Genomic DNA, 16,188 nt, shown 5'->3' with positions numbered 1-16,188 from the left:
TCTTTCTACTCTCTTGGCAAATATTTCCCCAAGTGATTATGTTAGAACTGAGGATTCAGACTAATTCTGTCCTCTAATTCATTTGATAATCTATCACTGTGACTAAAATATAATGGAGATGACAGATGCTTATGGATAACTATTTTGTGATATTCATGTCCCTGAGTTGGTATCAGCAAATTGCTTTTTATTAGTAGCTAAATAATACTTTGGTTCTTCCACGAAATGATTAATCTAAGTAGAGCCAAATGTGGACTTGCCTGTGATGCAGAGCAACGAGGTAATGGAAAGCTCAGGACTTCTCATTATGGTCTTATTTGTACCATGACTCTGCAACTCTTTTCCAAATATCAGTTATTTGAGCCCTCTATGTTCTTGTTATTGGTTGTGATTGCATCCTATTCATTTTTATAGACTGAGAGATCTGGAATGTTTTTTACTAAATCATTCAATCACGCAATCCATATTTACTACGGACATACAATCCATAAGTATCTGCTCACATGTGGGCTGGAAACGGGGGCCACAAAACTGCAGAAGGTAAGGCTGATGCCCCAGAGTTGCTCACACGATAGGAAGGGGACTATGTATGTTACAGATTATAATACAGTACGTTAAGGGCTGCAGCAGGAGTCCATATAAGGTACAGAAAGAAGATGGAACAGGGAAGATAGAGAAGACAAGAGCCTAAAGAGGAGGTGGCAGCTGAGTGGGGTCCTAAGCAAGAACACACATTTGCGGCAGGTTAATAGAGGACACTTATGCGAAGGCACAGTGGAATAAACAGCAATGGGCTTATCTGCGAGTGATGGTCCCTGTAGTTTCTGCAGGAAAAGGGCAGTGTCAGGAGATGAACCAATTCAAGAAGAGTCAGGTTACGGAGAGCCTAATTTTGATATCCCCACAAGGAGACACAAGAGACTGGCCAAACTAGTCAAGGACACCAAGTTAAGTATGAGAGAGAGATGAAAACTGTACACATAGTTGATGTGCTTTTCCCCTCATTCTTTTTGCAGCCATGATTGGACTGTATCCTACCTCGCTCTGCATTAGTAGGATTTATGGTCTGTCCTTGCGTTAACTGTATGAAACTGAAGCATAAAGCTGTTGTGTGCATATATGAGTGATGCAATGAAATAAACCTGTGAATTTTCAAAGCCTGGTTCCTGGACCAGCAGCATCAGCATCACCTGGGAACTTGTTAGGACTGCAAATTTTCAGGCTCCACCTTAGAGTTATTACAAACTATAAGCACAGTGACCAGCAATCTGTGGTGGAACAAGCCCTCCAGGTGATTCTTATTCCCCTCAAGTTCAAAAACCACTGAAAAGGACCCACAGGATTTTGATTATTTTACTAATTGATCTGCACGTTTCCTTTTTATCGTGTCTCATGCTGAACCATCCCATGTAATCAAGTTTTCCTTGGGCTCACTGAATTTTTAATTTCTTTAAATAAAATAAAATAACATTTAAAAATAAAATTAGTTTTATTTTTAAATGTTAATTTATTACGTTCACTTGTTATTTCATTAATGATGCTACACTTCTCATCTATGTCTTTATTGATTGATTGCGACAGGGCCTCACTCTGTCACCCAGGCTGGAGTGCAGTGGTGCAATCACGGCTCACTGCAGCCTCCTCCTCCCCCCACCATGCCCGGCTTATTTTTTTTGTAGAGACGAGGTTTCGCCACATTGCCCAGGCTGGTCTTAAACTCCTGAGCTCAAGCGATCCAGCCGCCTTGGCCTGCCCAAGTGCTAGAATTATAGGCGTGCACCACCGCACCCAACCCTACGCCATTTTTCAAAAGTATATCTCCTTGCTATCAGCCCCTAGAAAAGCCTGCATCTGTAAGTGATAAAACACAATTATCTGTCAGGTGACAAAGAATGGTACAGACATGGGTTTGTAAATCAAAATAAATTTGACACAAGTGTTCTTGAATGGATTCCCTTAATCCTTTGCCGGCAAATCCCACATCCTCCACGTGGCCACGAGGACCCCTCCTTTAGGTATTTAAATATCCCTTGTGCCTGCTGACTGATTATATCTTTTAAGACTCAGGAAAACTGCTATTTTTCTTCTGAGCTCTTTGAGAATCCATCAAATGTCAGAATGTCATTTGAGCTGCGACCACAATTAATTATTATTATCTTTTTTTTTTTTTTTAGACAAAGTCTCGCTCTGTCGCCCAGGCTGGAGTGCAGTGGCGCCATCTCAGCTCACTGCAACCTCCGCCTCCTGGGTTCAAGCAACTCCCCCTGCCTCAGCCTCCCTAGCAGCTGGGGTTACAGGTGCCCGCCACCACACCCGGCTAATTTTTGTAGCTTCTAGTAGAGACGGAGTTTCATGATGTTGGCTAGGCTGGTCTCGAACTCCTGACCTCAGGTGATCCACCTGCCTCAGGCTCCCAAAGTGCTGGGATTACAGGCATGAGCCACTGTGCCTGACTTTATTATTAACAAAACAGGCTTCTCATCAATAATACATAAATTCCAAGAGAGCAAGAACTTTGTCTTGTTCACCGTTGTATCCCCAGAGCATAATACATCACTTGACACCTGACACATGATAGGTGTTCAGTAAATACGTGTTGAATAAACAAGTTAATTCATTAGCACCTACTGAACACTAGGCTCTAGGAATATGGGGGAAAAAAAGGCAGATGTATGCTCCCCCTTCATGTGGCACCTACCGACACAACGCAAAGAACTGGGTTTTGTTCCCTTATTATCTGATTATTGCTGCCACTCTTCTCAACTATACGGTTTTTAAAACCTGCATCACCTTCCTAGAAAATGTCAAATCTGTAAGCGATAAAAAGCAACTTCTGCTCAGGTTGCAAAGAATCTTTGGGGCTGTGAAGCCCCAAAGATGAGTAAGAAATGGTCCTTGCCTGTGTCCCTGCCTGGATACACTGAGATGGACAGCATCTGACCATGGCCACCACCAACCTTCCTCTCTCTTGACCGCTGACAGCTACCAGAATTTATGGGCAAAGGTACAAATGGAGATACCCTTCTCCCCATATGCCTTGACATTAAAAGTTTAAATTCAACCTAACAAACTTAAAATATGTTCTATCTTCCTATTTTTACAAATATATCTTCATAACAAAATCAAAACTATGAAAAAGCAACAGTTCATATTAAATAGCTATGGAGAGTACAAACCCAAATTAACTTCATTTCGCACCAAAGGCCATGATCCCCTCTGGGGCTGCCCTGTCCAGGAGGTTAACCAATGCAGCTGGTCTGAACTGAGGTGCGCTGGAAGTGTCAACCCACATCTGATTTTGAAACCTAGTTTTTTTTTTTTTTTAAAAGAATGTAAACGTCTCACTAGTAATGTTCACATTGATCACTTACTGAAATTATATTTTGGCTCTATTAGGTCAACATAAAATGAATTTTACTTCTTTCTGCATACTTTAAAAAAAAATGGCTACTAGAGAATTAAAATGACACCTGTCACTCATACTACCTTTCTTTGGGACAGTGAGCTCTAGGAGGCAGGCAAGGATGGAAGGAAAGGATCCTGCTGCCAATAGGCACCCACAGCCACTTCCCCATCTCCCTAATCTTATCTCCCCGGAATCCCATGGGGTGAACACCCACCTTTTGTCCTCTTCCCCAGGAAGCCAGGGAGGCTCTTTACCCCCTGACCCAGGCTCAGCTGCTTGCCCACCATCACACCCCTACCTGGACAGTAGCCGAGGAAAGGGCAAATATAGGCCGAGCATGGTGGCTAGCAGGTACTCCCTCATCTCTCAAAAAGCCATGCCACTCAGCCTCTGCCCACCAGGTGCTCCCAGAGCCCACCTCCACTGGTTTCACCTTGTCACGCTCCTCAAGGGAATGTAAACTCAGAGGACCAGATCCAAATGTGGAATTCCCAGCCTCCTTGGCACTGGAAGCCTGTTACAAGGGGGAGAGCCATACCCTGGTCATGGCACCCTCTTCCCCCAACCCAGGGCTCCATCCTGCTCCTCGAAGGCCTCCCCCACCTACACGTAGACTAGGAAGCCCACAGGAACCAGCTCCGTGCACTCATTCCTCCTTCCGTCCTGTCTCTGATGAGAAGCATCTCTTGGCCACCCCTTCAGGCCACCTTCTGCAGGACAAGCAGGCCCTGGAAGTGGTCCTGTGGCCCTTTGCAAGCAACCACCCTCCAGAACTGGCACACTCCTGAGGAGCACTAGTGCAGGGCCCTCTGTGACACAGGGCCTGAGGGACCCCATTGTCTGACGTAAGGACCATGCTGACAGTATCCACCAGAACAGCTAAAGCTAAAAAGACGACACTAATACCAAGTGTTGGTGAGCGTGGAACTGCTCCTCAACCCGTGCTCATTAGGAAACGTACACTGACACTTTTGGGCAGTATTACTAACAATGAACATACCTCATGACTCAGCAATTCCACTCCTAGGTGCGCATCCCACATAAATGTGGGCATATGTTCACCAAAACCCAGGGACAGTAATGCTCACAGAGACACTATTCATGATAGCCACAAACTGGACACTACACAAATGCCCTCAATAGTAGAAGGAATAATGAAACGGGGCTGTCACAGAATGGAGTGCTGCACTTAAACAGAATAAACTACAACTACATGTGACAACATGGATCAATCCAACAAAGAGAATGTACTGCAAAAGCAGCCAGACACCAGAGAATAGATGCCATCATTTCATTCACATAAAGCTCAAACACAGGCAAAAGTAATAAAAGGTAACAGATATCAAAAGAGAGGTTACTTTGGGCGTTACTTTGGGAAAGAAGAGGGTGGGAGTGACTTGGAGAGCCACGATGGGGGCTTTGGGAATGTTCTATCCCTTGATCTGGGTGGTGGTCATATGAGTGTGTAAATTTTGTGAAAATTCATGTTGTTCACTTATGATCTGAGATGAAGCACTTATGTGCTTCTCTCTATGTATGATCTACTTAAGAAAAAATTTCACTTAAAAAAAGATTACTGCAAAAAAAAGTGTGAGTTGAAGATAATAATACAAACACAACACCAAAAAATGGCAGGGCCTCTCATTCCCCTAGTAAAAGCTTTTGTCAGCCCTACCATAAAGTTGAAAAGCAATGACAATTCAGCAAACAAATGTGAAATGATGGATAAAATAACTGGAAATATGGATTTATACTCAAAATCATTAATAATAAATGTCACTCTAAGTGACTCTAAATATCTCTATGTCTTGAGATATCAGCCGATGACAGTATAAAGCCATCAGGGCTAGTAAGACATTTTACAATACTGTTTATTTCACCTTTATCTCCTCTTTTTATGTACGTTTGATTATTTTATAATATGCCTTCTATGTTATCAAAGAATACAAGTATAAAATTGATAAAGTATTGTTGGTACTTATCACAACCTTTACCGATGAGGTTTAAGCAGAAACATTTGGAACCTCTTATCTGAATGTATGTGCATAAATACATCATCTTATCTCTCAGGAAAAAGGTTCAAGGGTATCCAGACTTTGCAGAAATTCTCAACTTTTAGAATTATTTGTAAATCTCCGATAAGAAAGATGATGGAATCACCAGGAAATCTGCTTTAAATTTTTATTTTTCTTGTGAAAATAGCTGAAGTGGGAGGTTAAATTTAACTTTATCTCCCTTCAAACCTTGAGTAATAGTCTGGAAAGAGGATTTATGTCATCGCACTGAGTTCCCACTACCGCCTCCTGGAAAAGGCCAACAAAGAGGTGGACCCTGCAACTCATGGCTTGGCCAGACAAGCAATTAAACAGGAAAGCACAAACCCCTCTCCTCAGTGGGAATAACCGACTGCAAATCTGACCTGGTGGCCCCCTGGTCTGGATAAACAGAACCCTTGTTTGGTTGGGGAGGGTCAGAGGTACAGCGCTGACCTGGAAGCCTTGTGACCAGAAACCACATCCACTCTCACAAGCTCCCTGTCTTGATTTTCCTCCTTGATTGATTAGCCTAGTTACCATAGACGGATTCAACTGTACAATAGATGGCAGCTTCTAGATCAACATCAGAGCAATGTTATGGTCCAGGAATGTGACATGGGTTGAATATCTTCTAACTGGACTTAGAAAACCAGAGATCTATAAACATGTTTGTGAATTCCAACTTTCCTCCACCCTGTTTCTGCTACCAGGGCACATTCCACGTTGATCTCTTGTATGCCGATCAACATGATTTTATTGCTTTTTGTCACACATTTTAAACACTGATTTTCACAGAGTTACAGTCCCCGTGGCCTCCCCACACCACAACCAAACAAATGCGCTTTTACTGCCTCAAGGAAGATGTAAGTAATTTACTTGTAAAAGTGAGCTGAGCTCTCAGGAGAAATTCAGCCTCATGCTTCGTTCTGATGGATTTCAGTTCTCAATCTGTCCGGGACAGTCAATTAAAGATTAAGTTGGAATTGAAGTGAAACCTTCCAAGGCTCGTTTAGGTAGGGCCAGACACCCTCCATCAGGCCAAACAAGGGATGGGGATAAAGGATATGGACCTGGCTCTCCTCCTGGGGATGCCAGAGAGAACTTCTCTAGAAATAAATAGCCTCCCACTCGGGTAATTCTCAGGGTCATACTTTAACAAAAAGATGCAAGAAATGCACCAAGCCTTCTTGTTAAAATTCTTAATTGGAACAGCCTTTATAAAGTGGGAACGCTGTAAAAATGAAATGAGATAATGTGTGTGTGCACAGCATATAGGGCCATGCCTGGCATAGGGTACATGCTCAGTTATTGATCACTACAGCAAAGGTCAAGTGTATCTTGTAAAACATAGCTTGTTAAAATGTGACTGCTACTTCTGACTACTCCCATCTCCAGCTTAATGGAAATAAGACCAAGGGATACCTGGAGAGGATCATCCACTTTGGATGAGGTCAGTCTCTTACTGCTGCTCCCATAGCCCAAGCAGGGGCTGCCATTCCGTAAAGGGACAGACTCCCTCAGTTCCTGGGAGTTTGGGGTGGAGGTGATGCAGGGAAGGCATCCCTGGAGAGGGTCCTGATCCCCTTGCTGGGTGTAATTCACAGGCCTGGGCTTGGGAGACTTATAATGGAGCTGAGTGGCCTTGGGCAAGCCCGTGCAGCTCCCCACCCACCAGCATCCATTAAACACCTCCTGTAGGGCTGGTGTGCAACACCTGTCCTCCCACCCATCTTAGCCTGTGCTTCACTCAAATCACTTGTCAGCAACTCAAATCACTTGTGATTCCAGGACACGCATCTTCCTTATTAAACTCTAGAGCAGTGATTTTCAAGGTGTTTTCTCAGAAACTCTATAGAGGGAGCCCGTGGCAAGGGCACAGAACTTCAAGCCCTAACACTGCTTTTGCCCAGAAAAGCTTGACTTGGTTGTTTCTCATTTTGGAATGTCCACCCAAGATGTTGTTTGAACCAAGGATTCTCCAGCTAAGGAAGAAAAAGAGTTGAAAATACTGCTTAACTGGAGATCAATCTTATGAACCCTTAAAGGAATCTTTAATTAGCTCTTATAGCAAATGCAGATTTGTCGAAAGAAACTACAACTCTTTCGCCTACAAGCCCTCCCCAGAGCCAAGGCTGGACTGTGAACCTGTTACTTAACTAGACACTCCAGTGTGGGCTAAGCCATCTTAAAACTAGGGCCCTGCCCTGATTGCTAAGTGACTTAACTTGATGCAAAATAAGAAGCCACACTCTGGGTTTCTTGCCTAAAGGAATGTGTGGCCGGCATGACCCATAGGTGGTCCCTCTCTGACAATCATCAAATATTAGCAAGAGCCACGGCATTGGCAAGAGCTCTTTGGGCAGCTGCCTGAGGGCCAGAATCTGGCATGCTGGCTGAAGCAGAGTCCTCACCTTGCACGCCAAGGACTTTGCAGCTGTGGGCACGCCCCTCTCCTGCAATGATGTGCATAACTTCAACAAGTGGTGCTGGGGACAGAAGAAGGCATGTAAGCATGCAGCCATGCAGCATCAAAGCGTGCTCACCAGCAAGCAGCTGCTTTGAGGGTCCATGGGCATCAACTTTGGGCAACGGGTTGTACATGCCACTGGTAAGGGGACAAGACTCACTGGGCACTGTGTCTGTTCTCAGGGAGCTTAGAACCTGGAGCAGAAACTAAGTGTCTACCCTGATGTCCACACTCTGTGGCAGGGGGATCTGTGACAACCTTTCCAACAAGAAAAAATTGAGAGAGCCAGACAAGGAGGGATACAGTCCTCTTTGTAAAGGGTTTTCGGATTGGGTGACTGCATGACCTCACGGCCCAAAGGGAGGGGTAGTTTGTGAAATTTTTTCCGAAAAAATCCTTGTTTAGATGATAAATGTTACGATCACCATACATAATGTGAGCTGGTCCTTGAAGGACTTATGGAATGCGCACAGGTAGGAAGCACTCTGCAGGATGGGAAGAACTAGAGGAAAAAGCCATGAGGTGGGAAAACGTGGGCATTTTGGGGGAATGTCAAGCTGGAGTCTGGAGTGGCTGGAGCATAAAGGGCATGAAGCGGAGTCTAAAGAGAGATGAGATGAGATACGCGCGGATTCCGAGGGGCCTCACAGGACGAGTTTACACTTTCTTTGCCCAGCGATGATGTCCCATGGAGCTTTCTGAGCAAGAAGTGTCATAGTCAGAGGTGAGCCATGGCACAAAGGAGCAGGGAGAAATGGGAGCCCCTGGCTGGCAGAGCAAGGAGGGTCTGGCTGGTGGGAGAAGGACCATGGCAGCCGGAAGGCCAGGCATCCGAATCATCCCACCCCAGCCTGGCCACTGCCCTGCTCTTTGCCCTCCCAGGCTGCCTGTCACTCTGAGGAATGTGGCACACTCTCCCTAAGGGGGAGGCAACTTGCTCATGCCACTTCCTGAACCCAGACTGGTCCCAGGACCATCTATTTTTGGCTCTCCCAAGCCAGTGTTTGACAAGAAAAGCACAGCTGCCAGTAATTTCGCCCCAGTGGAATCTACTGTTCTATAAAGGGTCATGCCAGTTTCTGCACATGAATTATGGTCACCTGGACCCAAGGCCAAGGGAAGCACCTCCGTCTTCAGCATCACGGTGCACTGGAGTCTTTCCCGGACCTGGGAAAAGTAGGCTGGTGCCTTTGTTCAGCTTGCACAGAAGTAGAAACAGAAGTTCAGCTTGCACAGAAGTCCAGTTGTTCCTGGGACTGTGTTTGTTCAAGGGGCACCAGGGCACCAAGAGACACACTCACTTCCTAGTGCATACAGCCTGCTCCGTGCCCAATAATAGCTGCATGGTGTGAGGGAGAAAACTGCAAAGCCAGCCAGGGCTACGCTTCTTATGGAATGATCCCTGGAGTAAAAGGGATTTATAGTCGAGGAGTTATGTTTAGAAAGGACCCACTCAGAACAGGAATGAGCTTAGAAACTTCATACCAACTAAAGCTTCATCCCTGGCCAGCTGAGTACCCCCTTCTCCCCTCTATCACCCTACGAATCCATTCACCATCTTTGCTTGGATTTTTTTTTTTTAAACTCTCAGATTTCCCAGCCCCCAAACTCTTGCCTCTCCAGTATCTTCAAAACTGGGGTCCAAGATGGTGAGCCCCTTAACGAAAAGGCTAGGTATTAATATCCTGTGTTACCTCTACACCCAGCACAGTAAAATAAATTTGAAGCGAATGAATAAAGAAGCAAACCAATGAATGTATGTCCCTTGGGCAGCTCCACCGGGGCAGCGAGGCCTCTCCCCACACCAACCCCTGAGAAATGTGAGTGGCACTACTGTAGTCACACAGGGACAGCTGAGGCCGAGAGGACTTGTTAACAATGCAGTCAGGAAGAGTGAAGGGAATCAGGCAGCAGTTTGAAAGAAATGTGCAAATCCAGCCTCTCTGTTGCTTTTCCTTTTGGAATATTTCTAATGCACCAAATGCGGATGGTGAAGCTCTAGATTCATTTTCCCCAGGAAAACATGTTTTCTTTGCTTGCTTAAGTGAAGCTCAGTGGCAAAAGTTTTGGCTGACTAGGAGAGTTGATGTTGGCAAATGTGGGTAGAGCTGATGAATGCCATGATCCTCACCAATAGTTTGTACACCCTAAGAAATTACTAATAACACTGATGACAATAATAGATGCTACCATTTAATTAGTATATACTGGGTGCAAGGCATTACGCTAAGCACTTGACATGCATTGTATACCGAAGAGTCACAGTTGTACTTAGGACATAGATACTATTATTATCTCTGGTTTTAGAGGAGGTTTAATGAGATAAAGCCTCTTGCTCAAGGTCACATAGCTAGTAAGTGGCAGAACAGTGATTTAAACCCAGGATAAGTGACAGCAAATTTACTTCTACACGGCAGTGCCATTCAATTTTTTTTTCCGTGGATAAATGGTCATACCCTTTAGGGAAGAGGTAGAAAGAAGAAAGGTTCTGCTAACTGCCAGACAACACGCTAAGGTTATTTATACAGGTTGAGCATCCCCAGTCTGAAATCCAAAATGCTCCAAAATCTGAAACTTTTTGAGTACTGCCAAGTGGAGAATTCCACACTTCACCTCACGTGATGAGTTGCAGTCAAACTGCAGTCAGCACTTTGTTCCATGCACAAAATTAGTTAGACTATTGTATCAAATTACCTTCAAGCTATGTGCATAAGGTGTATATGAAACAAAAGAACTTCATGTTGAGGCTTGGGTCCTATCCCCCAAATATCTCATCATGCACATGCACATATTCCAAAATTAAAAAAAAAAATTAGAAACACTTCTGGTCCCAAGCTTTTTGGGGCTAAGGGGTACTAAACCCGTATATGTAAACTCGCTTGATGCTTAATGATGAAAACTGCATTATGTCCCCTTTTTGCAAATGAGGTACCTGTATCTCAGAGAAGTTAACTAGCAGGTCTGAAGTCATAAATGATAGTTAGTACAAGTGAAGAGAATTGAGAATGGCAAACCAATTTTAGTAATCAATCAGTGCCAGAACACAGGCCAAAATAGGGTAGGTATGAGCAGTAGCTTATGCTAAGTGTTGAACTAGACCAGAGGTTGGCAAACTTTTTCTGTAAAGGGCCAGATATGGTCAATAGGATTTGGCCCGTGGGCCATAGTTCGCTGACCCTTGAACTAGATGATACTGATACGTGGAAAGTTTGAACCTTTGTGAGACTCCTGTTCCTAACAGTAGTATTCATATATGAATCCATTAATAATTTATAAGTTTAGTTTAATCTATCTACTTAGTAAAATCATTAACATATAATAAAAAGGTAAACCTGGGTTAATAAATAAACTCCAATGGGAAAATTCTAAGGCACATGCATGTTTTAGAGAGGGAAAAGTAAGAAAAATACATTCCACTGAGGGGGGAAAAAAGTAACACATTTGTACTATGAGCCCTGAATACAGAACAGACGCCAAGGCTTAAACTGACATCCAAATCCTTCCCTCCTCTTTGCAGTATGGACCAGGGCTTAGATGAGTTGGTGGCTTGGGTAATTAAGAACTCTAAAGATCACTGCCTTCAATCTAAAAGGCCACATGTTCACAGAAAGCTTTTTCCTTGCGTGGATGCCAGACACTTGTGCACAGTGCCATTTTCACTGAAGAGTAAAAGAGCTTAGTTCACTGAGAAAGAAAGAATTAAAGGACTGGAAATGTCTGAATCAGAAATAATCCATTTTCCTAAACAGCAGTGAGAAGGGAGGGTACCGCAGGATGGCCTATCATTTACAGGGGGGAAAAGACCTCCAGTAACTGACTGAAGTTCTGTCTTTGGTCAATGACCTTTAGCAATGTTCCTAGTCCTAGGTCTACCTGCGAAACCTGAAAAACTCCCCAGAAATGGGTGATGGGAGAAAACAAACAAGAAGCACAGGGTGGTATTCATTTTGTTTGGAAAATTATCTGATTCAATAATCAATTATTTCAATATTCAGGATCTGAGTCAATACTCTGTGTTTACTGAGTGCCTACTCAGTGCCTGGACCCATGCAAGGTTCAGGGAGACAACATTAGCAAGATAGCCAAGGTCTTTGTCCTCAAGAACTTCAGAGTTTCCTGGGAGGATCATTTAGGAAATATGTTTTTAATCTCAACCATTAAAAAGTATTTCTAATAAGGTTTGCTTGCAAAAGACCTTCTCTGATTTTTCTTTGTCGAGGTATCTTAGGACGCTATTGTCCAAAATAAAAACTTTTGATAGTTTTTGGGGTACAGGTGTTTTTTGGATTAGCTCTTTAGTGGTGGTGTCTGAGATTTTAGTGCACCCATCACCCAAGCAGTGTACATTCTACCCAATATGTAGTCCTTTATCCCTCACCCACCTCCCAATGTCCCCACACTCCAGTTGCCAAAGTTCGTTATATCACTCTATGCCTTTATGTCCTCATAGCTTAGCTCCTACTTAGAAGTGAGAACATGACATATTTGGTTTTCCATGTCTGAGAACCCCACTTTCCTAGAGCACATTCTCACCATTTTTCCCCTTCCTCCCTAATAACCCCAAACTGACTGAACTGGCTTTCTCTGCAGCTGCCAGGAGATATCACCTCTAAGTGTGTTACCGACAACTTGGAACGTATCACAACATCCTCAGACAGCTCCTTCGCTTCTCTCAATGAGCCATGAGGATACAGAAAGGAGGGTCAGCAACATGAGGCTGAAGCTCTTGGGTCATCATAATGTAGGGAAGACCAGTGCATGTCACCCCCCAGGTGGCAATGAGGAATTGATTGCTGGTCTCATTGCACTGACAAAACCTCAGGCAGTACGTTTTTGCACAATCCATGTATCCATCCATCCAATCATTCATGACATGTAGCAAAAATTTACCACTAGTGACACTGTGGTACTTTCACAGTGTTTCACAACTATCACCCCTATCTAGTTCCAGAACACTGTCAGGATTATCAGGAAGAGGAAATTCCCACCTAATAAATTTTGGTCAGACTGGTTGATCTCAAAACCCTGTCTCCTGATAAGATGTTCTCAATGACAGTGGTGCCTGAAACTTCAGTAGCAATTTTAATTTCGCCCCGGTCCTGTGGTCCTGTGATCTCGCCCTGCCTCCCTTTGCCTTGTGATATTCTATTACCTTGTAAAGTACTTGATGTCTGTGACCCACACCTATTTGCACACTCCCTCCCCTTTTGAAACTCCCTAATAAAAACTTGCTGGTTTTTGCGGCTTGTGGGGCATCACGGAACCTACCAACATGTGATGTCTCCCCCGGACGCCCAACTTTAAAATTTCTCTCTTTTGTACTCTGTCCCTTTATTTCTCAAGCTGGCCGGCACTTAAGGAAAATAGAAAAGAACCTACGTGAATATCGGGGCAGATTCCCCGATATCTGGTGCCCAACGTGGATTCCCCGATAGAGTTGAGGCTACTCCAAGGAGAAGGAGGAAAAAGTCTCGAAGCCCAATGGCACGTACAGAATGCAATTGGTACATGGCTACAGCTGTGTTGTCCAATGACAGCCACATGTGACTAGTGAGCACTTGCAATGTAGCTGGTCTAAAGTAAAATACGCTGTACATTTTCTACTATGTTAAAAAAAATAAAGTAGCTACATTTAAAAGTAGAAACATGCAAAATTAATTTTAATAATATTTAATATTTAATCCAAAATATCTGAAGTGTCATTTCAATGCATGGTCAATACAAAAGTTATTAAGATATTTTACAGTCTTTTTTTGGTACTAACTCTTTGAAATTCTCTGTGTATAGAGTTTCTTTGCTTCCATCTATCTTCTCCCCAGTACAGTTTGGGACCCTCATCACAATCAACATCCCCATTTCTGCTTTCTAGCCCAGGCTGTGGATGGTTGGCCACACTTCAAGAAATAATGCAGCATTGCTAATTATTTTGAATGTCCATCATTTGCAGAGTATCTAACATTAAAAATAATAATAATAAGGCACCTCTACACACACTGCCTCTCTCTAACAACCCAATAATCAAGTGAGGTGCTGCAAGCAATACAGTACCCCAGGGGTTATAGACAACAAAGAGGACTGCAGGGCTCAGTGATCTGACCAAGGTCACACTTCAGTGAGGTCTTTTACCTCTGGGGCCAGGGTTCTTTCCTCACTCCACCACTAGCACAGCTCTTCAGGCTGGTGTGTGCTAGGGAAAGTAGGCTGCTCCTCTTGCCTGCCTTGGAGCGTCCACCACTGGGTGGCTGTAAGGGGCAATCTCATAGTTATAGGAACAGGTCAGGTGGAGGCGTAGGAAGGAGGAGGCTGTGCTAGCAGTGCAGACGCACGTCTGACAGGCTGAGAGGAAGGTTGTACCTGGATGCAGCTTGTCTGCTGGAGACAGAAGCTGGCAGGGTGCCCCCCTGGCCCTAGAACCTGCTGCCACAGAAAGTGATCATCAACAAGCTCCTAGGCTGAACCCAACATTTGAAATACACAGCTGCTTCATAAGCAGGGCTCTCACCAAGTGTGTGGCATGACAGCTGACTCAGTCTGTGGCTAATCCTGCCAATGGTTCCTCCTGTAACTTCTGTCCGCTTAATGCAATCGCCAGTGTCCTCTGCTCTCATGTTTAGGGAGCCAACTGCAGGGGACACTGCATGTGTGTTGCTGGACAGGCTTGGGACAAGGGGGTGGGGTGGAGGATGGACTATGATGAATCATGGATCATGCCAGCTCCAGGCAAAGGATTCAAATTCAATTTTTTAAAATGCGCACCTGTCAGCCAATTGCAGCACACCTAGGTACCAGTTCACAAGTTCAGCTCTAGAACATGACACTCTTAAAGCCCTTTCCTCTGCCTTCCCTAAATGGTAAAAAGAGAATAACACTGGTTAACTCTGAGAATTTACTATATTCTAGGCACCATTCCAGGCACTTTATTTGCACTAAATCATTTAATCTCATAAAACACCTATGATGCAGGAACACTTATTCTACTCATTTTACAGATAGGAACTGCAGTACAGAGAAATTAAGTTAACTACCCCAGACTGCACACAGAGGAACCCCAGAAGCTGGGATGGGAACCCAGACAGGGAGGCTCCCAGAGCCTGGCCCTCTGTAAAGGGTATCTAGTGCCAGCAAGATTTGCTTTCTTAATGAAGGAACTGTCTTGTCTATTTTGATGCTAAATGGGGACACTGGCTTCATCACACCTCTTGAAGACAGGGTCACCCCTACCCTATCACAGAGGGACTGGAAATGAATGTCTCCGCCTTCCTGCCAGCACAGCACATCTTTCCTCTTTCGGAGAGATTTTCCCTAGAAGCCACAGTGGACACTTGCAGGAGGCACCCAATTCTCTGCTCCCTGGGGAGTTCCCTGTGGTCTTCCCCTCACCCCACCTCCCGCCTCCCTGCCCTGCCCACAGCACACGCCTACCCTGCCTGGCTCTGCCCGCTGGCACCTTTTACCTCCCACCACGCTCTTCCCTCTGCCTGGACTCTCCCTTCACCTTCTAGTTTCCAGCAGTGACTCACCCAGAAACCTTCACCCTCCTCTGTTTCTCCAGGCCAAGGTGCCCGTTGCCTCCTCTGGAGCCCTGCAGCACTTGGCAAATACTCTCAATACAGGAATTTACACAACTCATTTTTATTCATGAGTCTGTCTCTGAAAACTGCAAGTTCCCCCAGGATACACTGCAAATGCTAAGAAGGCTTAGAGAAATAATAATAATAATAATAATAATAATAATAATAACAATAATGAAAATGGTGTCCGTTTAGGTCAGGCTGACCTCCTATGAAGGGACCTGGCTTTCTGGAACCTGCTGTCCTGGTTCTTATCCTTACTGTTGGACCCCAGGCTGACCTTGAGCCTTGAGTGATGTCCCACATCCCGTGAGTCTTTTCCAGATGGCTTTGGGTCCACAGCCTGGTTTCTTAGGTCCAGGGACACTCTCTCTTGCCTGCCTTGTCACCTACTGGTGCCTGCTCACCACAGAACAGGTACCAATAGGCCTGGCTCACAGACAGGTCATATCTTACTGAATATAGAAAATGTAGAAAGAAAAGTGAATTTTGAGCCAGGAATGATGGCACATCAGAAGGAAATACCTTTATAGAAGTTTCTGGATATAGTTTGTAACTTTTCAGCCCATAACATGCTCCCAACTCAAACCACTTCGAGAGCCTGCTTTCCCCTTAATCAGGTATTCTCAGGCTTGGCATTATTGACATTTGGGGTTGGATAATTCTTTGTTGTGGATGCCGGTCCTGTGCACCGATGGAGGCTTGACA

General features: G+C 44.5%; 1 protein-coding gene across 3 annotated transcripts in view, besides 2 other annotated features; it reads right to left on the bottom strand.

The window, feature by feature from the left end:
• SLCO3A1 (solute carrier organic anion transporter family member 3A1) overlaps positions 1–16,188 on the bottom strand; it is a 318,728-nt gene that overhangs the window by 182,521 nt on the left and 120,019 nt on the right. The window lies entirely within an intron of this gene.
• Positions 14,826–15,326: an enhancer, noted in NCBI's record as "H3K4me1 hESC enhancer chr15:92517819-92518319 (GRCh37/hg19 assembly coordinates)". NCBI's record gives its function as "activates a minimal SCP1, AML or CMV promoter by ChIP-STARR-seq in primed H9 embryonic stem cells {active_cell/tissue: H9 hESC(primed)}" and the evidence as "EXISTENCE:reporter gene assay evidence [ECO:0000049][PMID:30033119]".
• Positions 15,327–15,827: an enhancer, noted in NCBI's record as "H3K4me1 hESC enhancer chr15:92517318-92517818 (GRCh37/hg19 assembly coordinates)". NCBI's record gives its function as "activates a minimal SCP1, AML or CMV promoter by ChIP-STARR-seq in primed H9 embryonic stem cells {active_cell/tissue: H9 hESC(primed)}" and the evidence as "EXISTENCE:reporter gene assay evidence [ECO:0000049][PMID:30033119]".

This window comes from Homo sapiens, chromosome 15 (genome assembly GCF_000001405.40).
Source record: "Homo sapiens chromosome 15, GRCh38.p14 Primary Assembly".
NCBI classification, from domain to species: domain Eukaryota; kingdom Metazoa; phylum Chordata; class Mammalia; order Primates; family Hominidae; genus Homo; species Homo sapiens.
The sequence above is the reverse complement of the archived record's forward strand: the minus strand, read 5'-3'. Positions and strand labels throughout refer to the sequence as shown.